Below are 15,419 nucleotides of genomic sequence, written 5' to 3' on the forward strand. Positions count from 1 at the left end.
TTCTGGGTGAAAGAAACGGGGCGGGGCTGAGGCCAAGGAAGAGGTTGGACTGTGTCTCGCATGCTCCTGACGCAGAAGGTTTTGAACCTTTTTTCACCTCGTCTGAAATGGCTGCCTCCCAGTGTCTCTGCTGCTCAAAATTTCTCTTCCAGGTGCTTAAATCTCCTATCTTCTATTCGTTCAAGAAAGAGTATTGAGTGTCTATTGCGTGCCAGGCCACTGTGAGGGTGGTTACGATATGTGGATGAACAAAATGTGGCCTATGATTTCAATGAGCCTGCAGTCTGGTGGGGAATGCACAGAGCAAAACAGGCAACTCTGATATGGCAGGGTGTGTGCTCTGGGAGCACACAGAAGAACGTTACCAAGTTTGGGGGCGAAGAGGGTCAGAGAGTCCTTGGATGAAGTAAACCCGAGTTGAAAGCTAACAGGGTAAAAGTGCATCTTAACTGAGTCAAGAGGCGTGAAGAGGCAGAAGGAACAATATATGCAAAAGCTTGATGGAGAAACAGAATAGTTGAGTTTGGCTGAAACACAATTGGAGGGAGAGTAACAGATGAGACTGAAGAGTTAGGCAGGGGCCAGGTCATAGGGAGCGTTGTAAGCCTTTAAAAAAAATCAACTTTTATTTTACAAATGGGGGTACAGGTACAGGTTTGTTACGTGGATATATTGCACCCAGGTAGGTTGCAGGTTTGCTACATGGGTATATTGCACCTAATAGTTTTTCAACCCACACCACCCGCCCTCCCCACTCTAGTTAGTAGCCTGGAGTGTGTGTTGTTTCCATGTTTAGGTCCATGTTTGCTCAATGTTTAGCTCCCACTTATAAGTGAGAATGTCAGAGGTATTTATACCAGAGCAACTCCGTCTTGAATAGGGGCTAGGTAAATAAGGCTAAGACCTGGGCTGCATTCCCAGTAAGTTAAGGCATTCTTAGTCACAGGATGAGATAGCTCAGCACAAGATACAGGTCATAAAGACCTTGCTGATAAAACGGGTTGCAGTAAAGAAGCCAGCTAAAATCCACCAAAACCGAGATGGTGATGAGAGTGATCTCTGGTCATCCTCATTGCTACACTCCCACCAGCGCCATGACAGTTTACAAATGCCATGGCAAAGTCAGGAAGTTACCGTATATGGTCTAAAAAGTGGAGGTATGAATTAATCCACCCCTTGTTTAGTATATAATCAACAACCATAAAAATGGGCAACCAGCTGCCCTCAGGGTTGCTCTGCATATGGAGTAGCCATTCTTTATTCCTTTACTTTCTTAATAAACTTCCTTATGCTTTATAGACTCACCTTGAATTATTTCTTGTGTCTCTTGGGGTCTGGATCAGGACCCCTTCCGGTAACAAGAACATGCTGTATTTGGTTCTCTGTTCTGTTGTAAGCCATTTTAACAGACTGAATCTTACTCTGAAAACGGTGGAAAGCCACTGAAAGATTTTAAATAAGAAGATGATACAATTATACTTTCACTTTGAAAAATTCTCCTTTCCTGTGGAGAAAGGTTTGGAGAGGAACAAGGCTGATGGCATGGCAGGATAAAACAAGAGGCAACTGCAATAATGGAGACAAAGCTGACAGTGATTTGAATTGAAATTTGGCAATGGGAATGGAGGGTGGCAGTCTGATTCAAAAATCAACAAGACTTAGTGACTGGATGAAAATTAAAGACAAGTCAGAGTCAAAGATAAGCCCCAGGCTTCTGGCTTGGACAACTGAGTGGATGGTGATGTCTGTCATTCCAGCCCTAGAGACAGTTACACCTAGATCTCCAGTATGAGTACCAGGCCCATTGGACTTTGTGGCACCAGCTACTCTGGTCATCATGTTGTTTGGTAACATCAGTGCATGCATCTGTCTTCACAAAGGCAGATGGTATGAGGGTAGTTACCTGGGATGTCATCCTTCAATGCTGCATTATTGGCTTTGTTTCTGCCTGTGGAAAGGCAAGTGGGTGGTGACTCCCAAATCATGGCCACTTGCCCATGGTAATCTGGGTGATTCTTTCTTTGCTTGGAGAACTGGGAAAGCCAGGTTTGTTGACATCTTTAAAGAACATGGAACAGCCAAGTAAGGATTTCTGTGACTCTCATAAGAAATCTTCAAAGAGCTCAACCTACTCAGCATCAAGTTACTCTTCTTCAGGAAAGGTATCATCTTCCTAAGTCAGGGGGCCAGACTCACATTTTGGGGAAAAAGAAAGATTGAGCTTTTATCTTACCAAAAAAAATGAAATCAGACATTGATCATCTGGTATATGCAATCCAGATTGATTGGGAGAACAGGCAGAAGGACAGGGTACAATAATGAATAAAACAGATCCTGTCCTTAAGGGGCATACAGCTCTGTATAGGAGATATAATGCAGACTTAAAGAACTCTAATGTATGGTAAAAAGTTATAAATACAGGGAAAGATAAAGTTTTATGTGAGTTGAAAGAGAAGCTAACTTCAGGGAAGGCATCATTTGAGCTAGAAGGAAGGAAATGATCATTTATTACTCATTTATTGTGTTATCTAGTTACTCAACTCTCACTTCTTTTTGTTCTCTTTGACTGTAGCAGTGCTTTTAGTCCCTCAATGCCTACATCTCAAAATTACCTTAAAAATTTAGCTAATTCTCCATATTGTATTGGGAATACTGAAGTTTTTCCTGTCTCTTCACGGGGCCTGGGGAGCGGGGGTGTGGATTTAATCCATGTAGTCACCCACTGTTGCTGATTGAAAGAATGGATCAAAGGGTCCCAGGACTTAGAGAAGAAGAAACAGAACCATAACATAGCCTGGATCATTAGTACGGTGTGCTTGTGTTATACCTGGCTATGTAAAACAAGGGCAGGAAAAGATGCTTTTTCTCTTCTCTGGTTTATGCAATAAGCTTTTCTATTCTTGTCTTTTCCCAGAGACAGAACCTCGCCTGTTTCCTCACAAACCCACACTGTGGCAGCCTTGTTAATGCAGATGGCCATGGTGAAGTGTGGACAGATTGGAATAATATGTCCAAGTTTTTCCAGTATGGATGGCGATGCACCACTAATGAGAATACCTATTCAAACCGTACCCTGATGGGCAACTGGAACCAGGAAAGATATGACCTGAGGAATATCGTGCAGCCCAAACCCTTGCCTTCCCAGGTAATCTAACTTTGTCTTTTTTGTTTGTTTGTTTCCTTCTGTTGGCAAAAGAAATGTAGTGGCCATTTGAAATGCAGGGATGTAATAACTTCTGGTGCAGTGATCTCTCAGTTTTCAGTGAAGTGGTTGGGGCAGAGGAACAGTCCGCAGCTGAACCACCTATGCTACTTTACTGTCAAGTTGAATATTTTATTATCTGTAAGGTTTCAAAAGGAAGGGCAGTCCTCTTTTTCTCTTACTTCTGTTTGGACTTTATCTCTTAGTCTACAGAAATTTATAATGTCTTCTGACTTAGACTAGCTTTTCCCCTGGTCCTTGCCTATCTAGACTTGTCATTTATCTGAGTCTTGCACTTAAATCGCTCCTAAACAAACAAACGTACAAAACATGTGAAAGTTAGAAGGATATAGACTAACACCATAGAACTCAGTCCATCTAAAATATGACAGTCCGTGAGAATTCATGTCATATTGATCTTTATTTCCTGATGTTAGCTGTAGACTTCCAGATTCTTAATCTGTTAATTTTTCTTTCCAGTTTGGACACTACTTTGAAACAACATATGATACAAGCTACAACAACAAAATGCCACTTTCAACACATAGTACGTGGACTGTTTTTTCAAATTCTTACATTTTCAGAACCTAACTCAGTGACCGGCACATAGAAGGAACTCAAATAAAAGTAAACTGAATAGGTGAATAAGTGAGGCTGGGCGCAGTGGCTCACACCTGTAACCCCAGCACTTTGTGAGGCTGAGGCAGGCAGATCACTTGAGGTCAGGAGTTTGAGACCAGCCTGGCCAGCGTGGTGAAACCCCATCTCTACTAAAAAAAATACAAAAATTAGCTGGGCTTGGTGGCGCATGCCTGTAGTCCCAGCTACTCAGGAGGCTGAGGCAGGAGAATCACCTGAACCCGAGAGGTGGAGGTTTCAGTGAGCAGAAATCAAGCCACTGCACTCCTGCCTGGGTGACAGAGTGAGACTCTATCTCAAAAAAAAAAAAGAAAAAAAAGGTGAATAACTACATGAATGAGTAAACAGGATTTTTTCTTCAATTTTAACAGGACTTACTGTCTATTCCCTAGAAATAAGAGCAAGATCAGTTACTAAAACTCCTTAGTGTTGACTGTTTTCATTTGTCTTTCCTTCCTTTTTTTTTCTTCCCTCAGGATTTAAGCGAGAGCCTCACTGGTTCCCAGGACATCAACCTGAACTGGATCCTCCCCGATACAAATGCACAGAAAAGTCAACTTACATGAATAGCTATTCAAAGCCTTAAATTGGGCATCACTCAGGATGTGTATAAGATCTTAATATTGACTAGTTTCACATCCAGGTTTCTAAGAAATGATAAGATACTTCACTTTTCCAGAGTGAAATGTAGGAGGGAGCACATTCTAAGTACAGCTAAAAATTTAGCTCACTGTAACACAGTTTCACTCTCTGAATAAATAAAGCAAAAAACACAGTAAATATTCTTTATCCCTTTTTTTGTTGTTGTTTTAACCAAGATTTAAATGTCAAATTTAATACAGCAACTCAGTTCTACATTTGGGGTGTTGTAGAAGGGCCTTAAAAAGAATTATTTTAGGCCAGGCACGGTGGCTCATGCCTGTAATCCCAGCACTTTGGGAGGCCGAGGCAGGTGGATCACGTGAGGTCAGGAGTTCGAGACCAGCCTGACCAACATGGTGAAACACTGTCTCTACTAAAAACACAAAAATTAGCTGAGCATGGTGGCTCACGCCTGTAATCCCAGCTACTCAGGAGGCTGAGGCAGGGGAATCGCTTGAACCTGAGAAGTGGAGGTTGTGGTGAGCTGAGATCATGCCACTGCACTTTAGCCTGGGTGACAGAGCGAGACTCTGTCTCAAAAAAAAAAAAAAAAAAAGAATTATTTCTCTGAAGTCTACAACCACTGTGGTCTTCCCTTCCTTCTGTCGTAGCAAGACCTCAGAATCTAGCATAACTTAGGCTAGGTTTGGCTAGATGCTTTCTGGGTATAAGCCAGAGTCGTATAGTGCAACTTTGCTGTGACCTTAGTGAACATCCCCTCTTGAGGACTACAAAAACAAACGTAACTTTTTAAAATTATTATGGAGAATTTTACGTAAAACAAAAGTAGACAGGCTAGTCTAATGAACTCCCATGTATCATTACCCAGCATCAACTATTTATGACTAATCTTACCTACTTCTACTTTGTCTTATTGAATTAATTTTGGAGCAGATCTTAGAAATAGAATTTAATCTATAAAAATCTTGGTGGGCTGGGTGCGGTGGCTCATGCCTGTAATCCCAGCACTTTGGGAGGCTGAGGTGGGTGGATCACCTGAGGTCAGGAGTCCAAGACCAGCCTGGCCAATGTGGTGAAACTCCATCTCTTCTAAAAATACAAAAATTAGCTGGTCTTGGTGGCGGGCGCCTGTAATCCCAGCTACTTGGGAGGCTGAGGCAGGAGAATTGCTTGAACCCAGGAAGCAGAGGTTGCAGTGAGCTGAGACGGTGCCATTGCTCTCCAGCCTGGGCGACAAGAGCGAAACTCCGTCTCAAAAAAAAAAAAGAAAAGAAAAAGAAAAAAAAAATCTTGGTATACTGGCTGGGCACAGTGGCTCACACCTAATCCCAGCACTTTGGGAGGCTGAGGCAGGAGGATAGCTTGAGGCTGGGAGTTCAAAACCAGCCTGGGCAACATAGCAAGACCCCATCTCTACCAAAAAAAATTTTTTTAAAGATTTCAGTATATTTCTCAAAAAGATAAGGACTGTCAATTGTCTACTCCCCCCCAACAAAGGTCACTAAGGAAACCTGTTGACTAAACAAAGCTCATTAAACCTATTGTAGTGTAGCAAAGGAGACCATCAACTTGACACAGAGTCTTGGTAATGATTCAAAGGGAGGATGTTAGAGTAAGGTATTTATAAGGATTTGAGATAAGGGTCCAACTGGTTTAAAATGAGTCAAAATAGGGAACTAGTAGAGACTGAGAAAGGGTTGTGAATAGCTTAGGTTTGGTAAACTTAGGAAATCAACAGTCTTAATTTTAATATGGTTAAACTGATTAGTATTTCCTATTTTTTTATCTACTGTGTAAGAAGACACTATAATATATGGGCATTACTGAGAGATACTGCCCATATGTTGTCCTCGTAAGCAAGGAGATATTTTTTATCTCCCATATATTACCTCTCAAACCTTTGTTACTTTAGTTTCGAGATATAGATCCAGAATTTATGTTGTTACTCAGTAGTGAGGAAGTTTCTTTTTTTTTTCTAAATGGCTATCAAGTTGTCCCACCATTAGTTATTGAAAAGACCATAATTTTTTCACTCCTATTCAATGCCATTTTTATTGTAAATAAACTATGTACATGTAGGTCTGTTTCTGGGCTACTATGTTCTATTAGTTTAATTGTCATTCCTTGTATTATCTTAGTTATGATGCCTTAATTGCACCATCTTAATTATGATAATTTTATTACATTATTATTATTTTATATCTTAATACCTAATAGATCAAATGCTTTCGTCTTGTTTTCTTCAAGAATATTAGCTATGTTTGAACTTTTGCATTTCCATATAAAATTTAGAATCAGCTTGCTCCATAAAATGACACTGTTAGGATATTGATTGAAACGGTATTGCATCATTAGGTCAGTTTTAGAATTTGAGTTCTCATTAATTCTAATAATTTATTTGTATGTTCTTACAATACAAATATTGTTTTATAGACACATATTTTAAGTTTACATATCGTATGTCTTATTCTATTTCCTATGTATCTAGCACATTTTTAAAATTGAGGTAAAATATACATAACATGGCTGGGCGCAGTGGCTCATGCCTGTACTCCCAACACTTTGGGAGGCCGAGGCTGGCGGATCACTTGAGGTCACGAGTTTGAGAGCAGTCTGGCCAATGTGGTGAAACTTTGTCTCTACTAAAAATACAAAAATTAGCTGGGCGTGGTGGCAGGCACCTGTAATCCCAGCTACTCCAGAGGCTGAGGCAGGAGAATCTCTTGAACCCAGGAGGCAGAGGTTGTAGTGAGTCAGTATCATGCTATTGCACTCCAGCCTGGGCGACAGAGCGAGACTGTCTCAAAAAAAAAAACCTATACATATATATATATATATATATATATATATATATATATATATATATATATGTATGTATATATATACACACACATAACATAAAATTTACCATTTTAGCTTTTTTGTTGTTGTTGTTCATAGAGACAGGGTTTCACCATATTGCCCAGGCTGGACTCAAACTCCTGACTTCAAGCAGTCCACCTGCCTCAGCCTCCCAAAGTGCTGGGATTACAAGCATAAGCCACCATGTGTGGCCCATTATAGCTATTTTTAAGTGTGTAATTTAGTGGCATTAAGTATTTTCACAATGTTGTGCAATGTTCACAATGTTGTGCAACCATCACCACTATCAATTTCCAGAACTTTCTCATCATCCCGAACTAAAACTCTGTACCTATAAAACAATAATGTCTCATTCCCCGACCCCCACTCCCTCAGCTCTTGGTAACCTGTATTCTACTTTCTGTCTCTATGAATTTACCTATTCTAGGTACCTCATTTAAGTGGAATTGTGTAATATTTGTCCTTCTGTGTCTGGCTTATTTTACTTAGCGTAATATTTTCAAGGCTCATGTATGTTATACCATGTATCTTCCTTTTTGTTTTGAGACAGCCTCTGTCACCCAGGTTGGAATGCAGTGGTGTGATCATAGCTCACTGCAACCTCAAACTTCTACACTCCAGGGATCCTCCCACCTCAGCCTCCCAAGTATCTGGGACTACAGGTGCATTCCACCACGCTCAGCTAATTTTTTAAAACAAATTTGGATACAGGGTCTCGTTTTGTTTCCCACGATGGTGTCAAATTCCTGGGTTCAAGCGATCCTCCCACCTCAGCCTCCTCTTCTTTAAGATTGAATAGGCTGGGCACAGCGGCTCACACCTGTAATCCCAAAACTCTGGGAGGCCAAGGCGGGCGGATCGTGAGGTCAAGAGATTGAGACCATCCTGGCCAACATGATGAAACCCTGTCTCTTAAAAAAATACAAAAATTAGCTGGGCATGGTGGTGTGCACCTGTAATCCCAGGTACTCAGGAGGCTGAGGCAGGAGAATCGCTTGAACCTGGGAGGAGGTGGTTGCAGTGAGCCGAGATTGCGCCACTGCACTCCAGCCTGGTGACAGAGCGATACTCTGTCTCAAAAAAAAAAAAAAAGATTGAATAATATTCCATGCATATATATACCACAGTTTGCTTCTCCATTATCTGTTAATGGACACTTGGGTTGTTTTCACCTTTTAGCTATTGTGAAATATGCTGTAATGAACATTGGTATACAAGTATCTGTTTGTGCCCTGCTTTCAATTCTTTGAGGTATACATTCAGAAATGGAATTACTGGATCATACCATAATTTCTATATGTTTTTGTTTTTTTTTTGTTTTTTTTTTTTTGAGACAGAGTCTTACTCTGTCACCCAGGCTGGAGTGCAGTGGCGTGATCTTGGCTTACTGCAACCTCTGTTTCATGGGTTCAAGCGGTTCTTCTGCCTCAGCCACCCAAGTAGCTGGGACTACAGGCACACACCACCAAGCCTCACCAAATTTTGTACTTTTAGTAGAGACAAAGTTTCGCCATGTTGGCCAACTGATCTCAAACTCGTGACTTTAAGTGATCGGCCTGCCTCGGCCTCCCGTAGTGCTGGGATTCCAAGCGTGAGCCACCACGCCTAGCCAATAATTCTAATTTAACAGTTTGAAAATGCCAAACTTTTCCATAATGGCTGTACCATTTTATATTCCTACCAGCAATACACAAGGGTTTCAGTTTCTCCATATTCTCATCAACGCTTATTTTGTTTTTGTTTATGTCTTATAATAGCCATATTAGTGGATATAAAGTGGTATTCCATGGTGGTTTTGATTCATATTTTCCCTAATGGCTAATGATTAAACACCTCTTTTTCCTTTTTTTTTTTTTTTTTTTTTTGAGCTGGAATCTCGCTCTATTGCCCTCTGTCGCCCAGGCTGGAGTACAGTGGCACCATCTCGGCTCGCTGCAACCTCTTGCCTCCTGGGTTCGAGCGATTCTCCTGCCTCAGCTTCCCAAGTAGCTGGGACTACAGGCGCGTGCCACTGTGCCCTGCTAATTTTCGTATTTTTAGTACAGACAGGGTTTCACCATGTTAGCTAGGCTGGTCTTGAACTCCTGACCTCAGGTGATCCAACCGCCTAGGCCTCCCAAAGTGCTGGGATTACAGACTTGACCTTGAGCATCTTTCTGTGTTCTTTTTGGCTATTTGTGTATCTTCTTTGGAGAAATGTTTTTTCAAGTTCCTTGCCCATTTGTGAATTGGTTTGTTGATTTATTTGTTGTTGAGTTGTAGGAGTTCTTTATACATCCTTACATGTTCCAGATACTAATTTCTAATCAGATATAAGATTTGCAAATATTTTCTCTGATTGTGTAGATTGTTGTTTCACTCTCTCTCTCTTTTTTTTTTTTTAACATAAATTAACCCATTTGTTATAGGCCAGAGATGTCTCAAAGAGTAGAGGAGCATCTACTGGTCTTTCAATTCCTTCAGTCTTCTGATGGCAGACTTCACCATGACAGCCGAAGTGGTGTTGTAGGTCCAGGCACTGCCAGCCACTGTCTTCATGCAGGAATTACAGTGCCTGATTTTCACAGCTCGTCTCTTCATCTTGGTTTTGCCACAGAAAGAGCAAGTGTACTTGGTGTGCTGGCTGATTTCAATTTCCTTCACCATTTTCCAGAGGGAGGCCCCATGGTGGGTCCTGTATTTACTGACTATTCCGACTTTCTTTTTTTTTTTTTTTTCTGAGATTGAGTCTTACTCTGTCGCCCAGGCTGGAGTTCAGTGGCACGATCTCGGCTCACTGCAACCTCTGCATCCCAGGTTCAAGCTATTCTCCTGCCTCTGCCTCCCCAGTAGCTGGGACTACAGGCGTGTGCCATCATGCCTGGCTAATTTTTGTATTTTGATTAGAGATGGGGTTTCGCCATGTTGGCCAGGCTGGTCTCGAGCTCCTGATCTCAAGTGATCCAGCCACCTTGGCCTCCCAAAGTGCTGGGATTACAGACGTGAGCCACCGTGTCCAGCCTCATTCCAACTTTCTTGGTGCATTTGGCCATGTCACCACAAACTAGGTCCAAGCCCAGAGAGGAAGATGTTGTTTCACTCTCTAGATACTGTCCCTTGATGCACAAAAGTTTTTAATGTTGATAAGTCCAATTTATCTATTTTTTGTTGGTGGTGCCTGTGCTTCTGGTGTTATATCCAAGAAACCATTGCTAAATACAGTGTTAAAAAGCTTTCCCCCTATTTTCTTCTAAGAGTTTTATAGTTTTAGTTCTGACAAAAGAGGTCTTTGGCTGGGCGCAGTGACTCATGCCTGTAATCCCAGCACTTTGGGAGGTCGAGGCAGGTGGATCACCTGAGGTCAGGATTTCAAGACCAGCCTGGCCAACACGGTGAAACCCATCTCTACTAAAAATTCAAAATTAGCCGGGTGTGGTGGTGCATGCCTGTAATCCCAGCTACTTGGGAGGCTGAAGCAGGAGAATTGCTTGAACCTCGGAGGTGGAGGTTGCAGTGAGCTGAGATCACACCATGCACTCCAGCCTTGGCAACAAGAGCAAAACCCTGTCTCAAAAAATAATAATAATAATAAATTAATTAAAAATAAATAAAATAGGTCTTTGATACTTTTGGAATTAATTTGTATCTATAGTATAAGGTATATATAAGGCATGGGTCCAACTTCATTCTTTTGCAAGTGAATATTCAGTTTTCCCAGCACCATTTGTTGAAAAGATTGTCCTTTCCCCATTAAATGGTCATGTCACCCTTGTTGGAAATCATTTGCCCATATGCACTAAGGTTTATTTCTGGACTCTATATTCTATTACATTGATCTACATTCTGCCTTTTTGCCAATATCACACCATTTTGATTACTGTAGTTTTGTAATAAGTTTTGAAATCAGAAAGTCTAAGTCTTCCCACTTTGTTCTTTTTCAAGATTGTTTCAGCTCTTCAGGGTCCCTTGAGATTCCATATGAATTTTAGGATAGATTTTTTTTTTCTGCAAAGTCATTGGAATTTTGATAGGGATTGCATTGAATCTGTAATCAGTATGGCTAATATTGATATCTTAATATTAAGTCTTCCAATTCATGAGCACAGATGTCTTTCCATTTATTTATGTCTTCTTAATTTCTTTCAGCAATACATTATAGTTTTCAGTGTATAAGTCTTACCTTCTTGGTTTATTCCTAAGTATTTTAGTCTTTTTGATGTTATTGTAAATAGTATTGTTGTCTTAATCTTTATTTCAGGTTACTAATTGTTAATGTATAGAAATGGAATTGATTTTTGTTTGTTGGTTTTGTGTCCTGCCACTTTGCTGAATTTGTATATTAGTTCTAATGGTGTGTGTGTGTGTGTGTGTGTGTGTGTGTGTGTGTGTAATCTTTAGGGTTTTCCACATGTAAGATCATGTCATCTGCAAACAGATAATTTTACTTCTTCCTTTCCAATGTGGATACTTTTATTTCTTTTTCTTACCTAATTGCTCTGAGCAGAACATCTAATAATATACTGAGTAGAAGTGGCAAAAGTGGGTATCCTTGTCTTGATCCTGATCTTAAAGGAAGACCTTTTATTTTTTTTCCAAGGACTGGCAATAGGCTAAAACTTTTAGTTTTGGTGGAATTTTTGTTTTTTGTTTTGTTTTTTATTTGTTGAGAGAGGGTCAAGTGCTAGAGTGTAGTGGCACGATCTTGGCTCACTGCAACCTCTGCTTCCCAGACTCAAGCTATACTCTCACCTCAGCCTCCCGAGTAGCTAGGACTACAGGTGCATGCCACCAGGCCATGCTAATTTTTGTAGTTTTTGTAGAGATGAGGTTTCGCCATACTGCCCAGGCTGGTCTCGAACTCCTGGGCCCAAGTGATCCTCCAGCCTCGGCCTCCCAAAGTGCTGAGATTACAGGTGTGAGCCCCCACACCTGGCCGAAACTTTTAATTTTTATCATTGAGTTTGGTGTTTGCTGTGGGTTTTTCATATATGGTCTTTATTATGTTGAGGTAGTTTCCTTCTACTCCTAGTTTGTTGAATGTTTTTATTGTATAAGGGTTTTGAATTCTGTCAAATGCTTTTTCTGCATTAACTGAGATGATCCTGTGGGATTTTTTCCCTCTATTTTGTAAATGCGGTGTATTGTATTGATTGATTTTAATATGTTGACTCAAACTTGCATTTCAGGAATATATTTATAATCCTTTTAATATCCTGCGAATTTGGTTTGCTAGTATTTTGTTGAAGATTTATGTGGTGTATTGGTCTGTAGTTTTCTTTTCTTGTAATGTCTTTGTCTAGCTTCGGTATCAGGGTAATGCTGGTCTCCCAGAATAAGTTAGGAAGTATTCCTCCTCTTTGTTTTTCTTTTAAAAAGTTTGAGGAGGACTGATGTTAATTCTTATATAAATATTTGGTAGAACTCATCAGTGAAGCCATCTGGTCCAGGGCTTTTCATTGTTGGGGTATTTTGATTACTAATTCAATTTCCTTACTCCAAATTATGGACCTACTCAGAGTTTCTATTTCTTCATGAGTCAGTTTTGGTAAAATATGTGTTTGTAGGAATTTATCTGTTTGACCTATGTTTCCAATTTGCTAGCAGATAATTGTTCATAGTATTCTCATATAATCTTTTTTATTTCTGTTTGCATCTGCAAAAATGTCCCCACTTTTTTCTGATTTTAGTAATTTGATTTTTCTCTCTTTTTTTCTTAGTCAATCTAGGTAAGGGTTGTCAATTTTGTTGATTTTTTCAAAGGAATAACTTTTGGTTTCATTGACTTCCTTTATTTTTCTGTTCTGTCTTTTATTTATCTCTGCTCTAACCTTTATTATTTTCTTTCTTCTTCTAGCTTTGGTTTGGATTTGCTTTTCTTTTTCTAGTTCCTTATGATGTAAAATCAGTTTTTTGATTTGCAATTTTTCTTTTTTTTCAATGTACAGCAGGTCTTCAAATAATGTTGTTTTATTTAGCATTGTATCATTATTAGGTTGATGAGAAAAACAAATTACTTCCCTGCTGGGACAGTGTCTGTGTGGAGTTTGCATGTTCTTCCCAAGTCTGCGTAGGTTTTCTTTGGGTACTCCAGGTTCCTCCTACATCCCAAAGATGCGCACATTAGGTGAACTGGCATTTCTAAATGGTCCCACAGTCTGAATGAGTGGGGGTGTGCATGTGAGTACACCCCATGATGGGATGGCATCCCATCCAGGGTCAGTTCCCTCTTTGTGCCCTAAGCTTCCAGGATAGGCTCCAACAACCTATGACCCTGAACTGGAATAAGTCAGTTGGAAAATGAATGAATGAATGAATGAATACAAAGTTTATAAAATAAAAATTCATAAAGTCTACAATAATCATACAGACGCACAACATAAGCAATGCTATAATAGAAAGCATTCAGCGAAGCCTCCAGATTTGTGACTGTTTGCCTTTGAACTGCATGGTGGTAGGAGACACTCCTTATAATTTTCACTTTGCAAACATTTATTCCTTGATTTAACTCACCACTGCTACAAATGCTGTCACTCACTGATTTACCAAAAATTGGGTAAATAATTACCTTACTTGTTTTTAGTAATCTTTTTTTTTTTTCTTCGAGATGGAGTTTCACTTTTCTTGCCCAGTGTGGAGTGCAGTGATGCAATCTCAGCTCGCTGCAACCTCCGCCTTCCGGTTTCAAGGGATTCTCCTGCCTCAGCCTCCCGAGTAGCTGGGATTACAGGCGCCTGCCACCACACCTGGCTAATTTTTGTATTTTTAGTAGAGATAGGGTTTCACCATGTTGGCCAGACTGGTCTCAAACTCCTGACCTTGTGATCTGCCCGCCTTGGCCTCCCAAAGTGCTGGGATTACAGGTGTGAGCCACCGTGCCTAGCCAGTAATCTTTCTTAAATGTATGTATACTTCATATTTATCTTGATGTTTAGTGTTAGAAGTATGGAGGAATCATATTACCTGACTTCAAATTGTACTAAAGAGCTATAGTAACCAAAGCAACATGATACTGGCATAGAAACAGACACATACACCAATGGAACAGAGTAAGGAACCCGGAAACAAATCCACACACCTACAGTGAACTCATTTTTGACAAAGGTGCCAAGAACATAAACTGGGGAAAAGACAGTCTCTTTAATAAATGGTGCTGGGAAATCAGGTTATCCATATGCATAAGAATGAAACTAGATTCCTATCTCTTGCCATATACAAAAATTAAATGAAAATCGATTAAAGACTTAAAGCTAAGACCTCAAACTATGAAACTACTACAAGAAAACATTGGGGAAACTCTTAGACATTGGCCTGGGTAAGTTTCTTGAGTCGTACCCTACAAACACAGGCAACCAAAGCAAAAATGGACAAATGGGATCACAAGTTAAAAATCTTCTGCACAGGCTGGGCGTGGTGGCTCACATCTGTAATCCCAGCACTTTGGGAGGCCGAGGCGGGCGGATCACCTGAGGTCAGGAGTTTGAGACCAGCCTGACCAACATGGAGTAACCCCGTCTCTACTGAAAAAATACAAAATAAGCTGGGTGTGGTGGCACATGCCTGTAATCCCAGCTACTCAGGAGGCTGAGGCAGGAGAATCGCTTGAACCCGGGAGGTGGAGATTGCGGTGACCAAGATCGTGCCATTGCACTCCAGCAGCCTGGGCAACAAGAGTGAAACTCTGTCTCAAGGAAAAAAAAAAAAAAGGCTTTGCACAGCAAAGGAAACAAAGTGAAGAGACAATCCACAGAATGGGAGAAAATATTTACAAACTACTCATCTGACAAGAGATTAATAACCAGAATACATAAGGAACTCAAACAACTCTATAAGAAAAATCTCATAATCTAATTTAAAATGGGCAAAAACTGAATAGACATTTCTCAAAAGACACAAATGGAAAACAAGCACATGAAAAGGTGCTCAACATCATTGATCATCAGAGAAGTGCAGATCAAAACTGCAATGAGGTATCTCACCCCAGTTAAAATGGCTTTTGTCCAAAACACAGGCAGTAACAAATGCTGGCAGGATGTGGATAAAAGGGAACCCTTGTACACTGTTGGTGGGAATATAAATTAGTACAACACTATAGATAACAGTTTTGAGGTTCCTCAAAAAACTAAAAATAGAGCTA

General features: G+C 40.3%; 1 protein-coding gene and 1 pseudogene across 3 annotated transcripts; one reads left to right on the plus strand and one right to left on the minus strand.

Moving 5' to 3' along the window:
* On the plus strand, window positions 88-6,522 carry CFAP68 (cilia and flagella associated protein 68). Of its 3 annotated transcripts, XM_011542957.4 has the most exons (5): window positions 88-152; window positions 2,032-2,162; window positions 2,915-3,145; window positions 3,683-3,749; window positions 4,318-6,522. In XM_011542957.4, the coding sequence occupies exons 2-5, from the start codon at window positions 2,070-2,072 to the stop codon at window positions 4,425-4,427; spliced, it is 501 nt and encodes a 166-aa protein (XP_011541259.1). In that variant the 5' UTR covers window positions 88-152; window positions 2,032-2,069; the 3' UTR covers window positions 4,428-6,522. The 3 variants fall into 3 exon arrangements, with proteins under 3 accessions (XP_011541259.1, NP_073598.1, NP_001317300.1); NM_022761.3 differs by lacking the exon at window positions 2,032-2,162; NM_001330371.2 differs by lacking the exons at window positions 2,032-2,162; window positions 3,683-3,749.
* RPL37AP8 (ribosomal protein L37a pseudogene 8) lies at window positions 9,683-10,369 on the minus strand (annotated as a pseudogene).

Source organism: Homo sapiens, chromosome 11, assembly GCF_000001405.40.
Source record: "Homo sapiens chromosome 11, GRCh38.p14 Primary Assembly".
Lineage (NCBI taxonomy): Eukaryota > Metazoa > Chordata > Mammalia > Primates > Hominidae > Homo > Homo sapiens.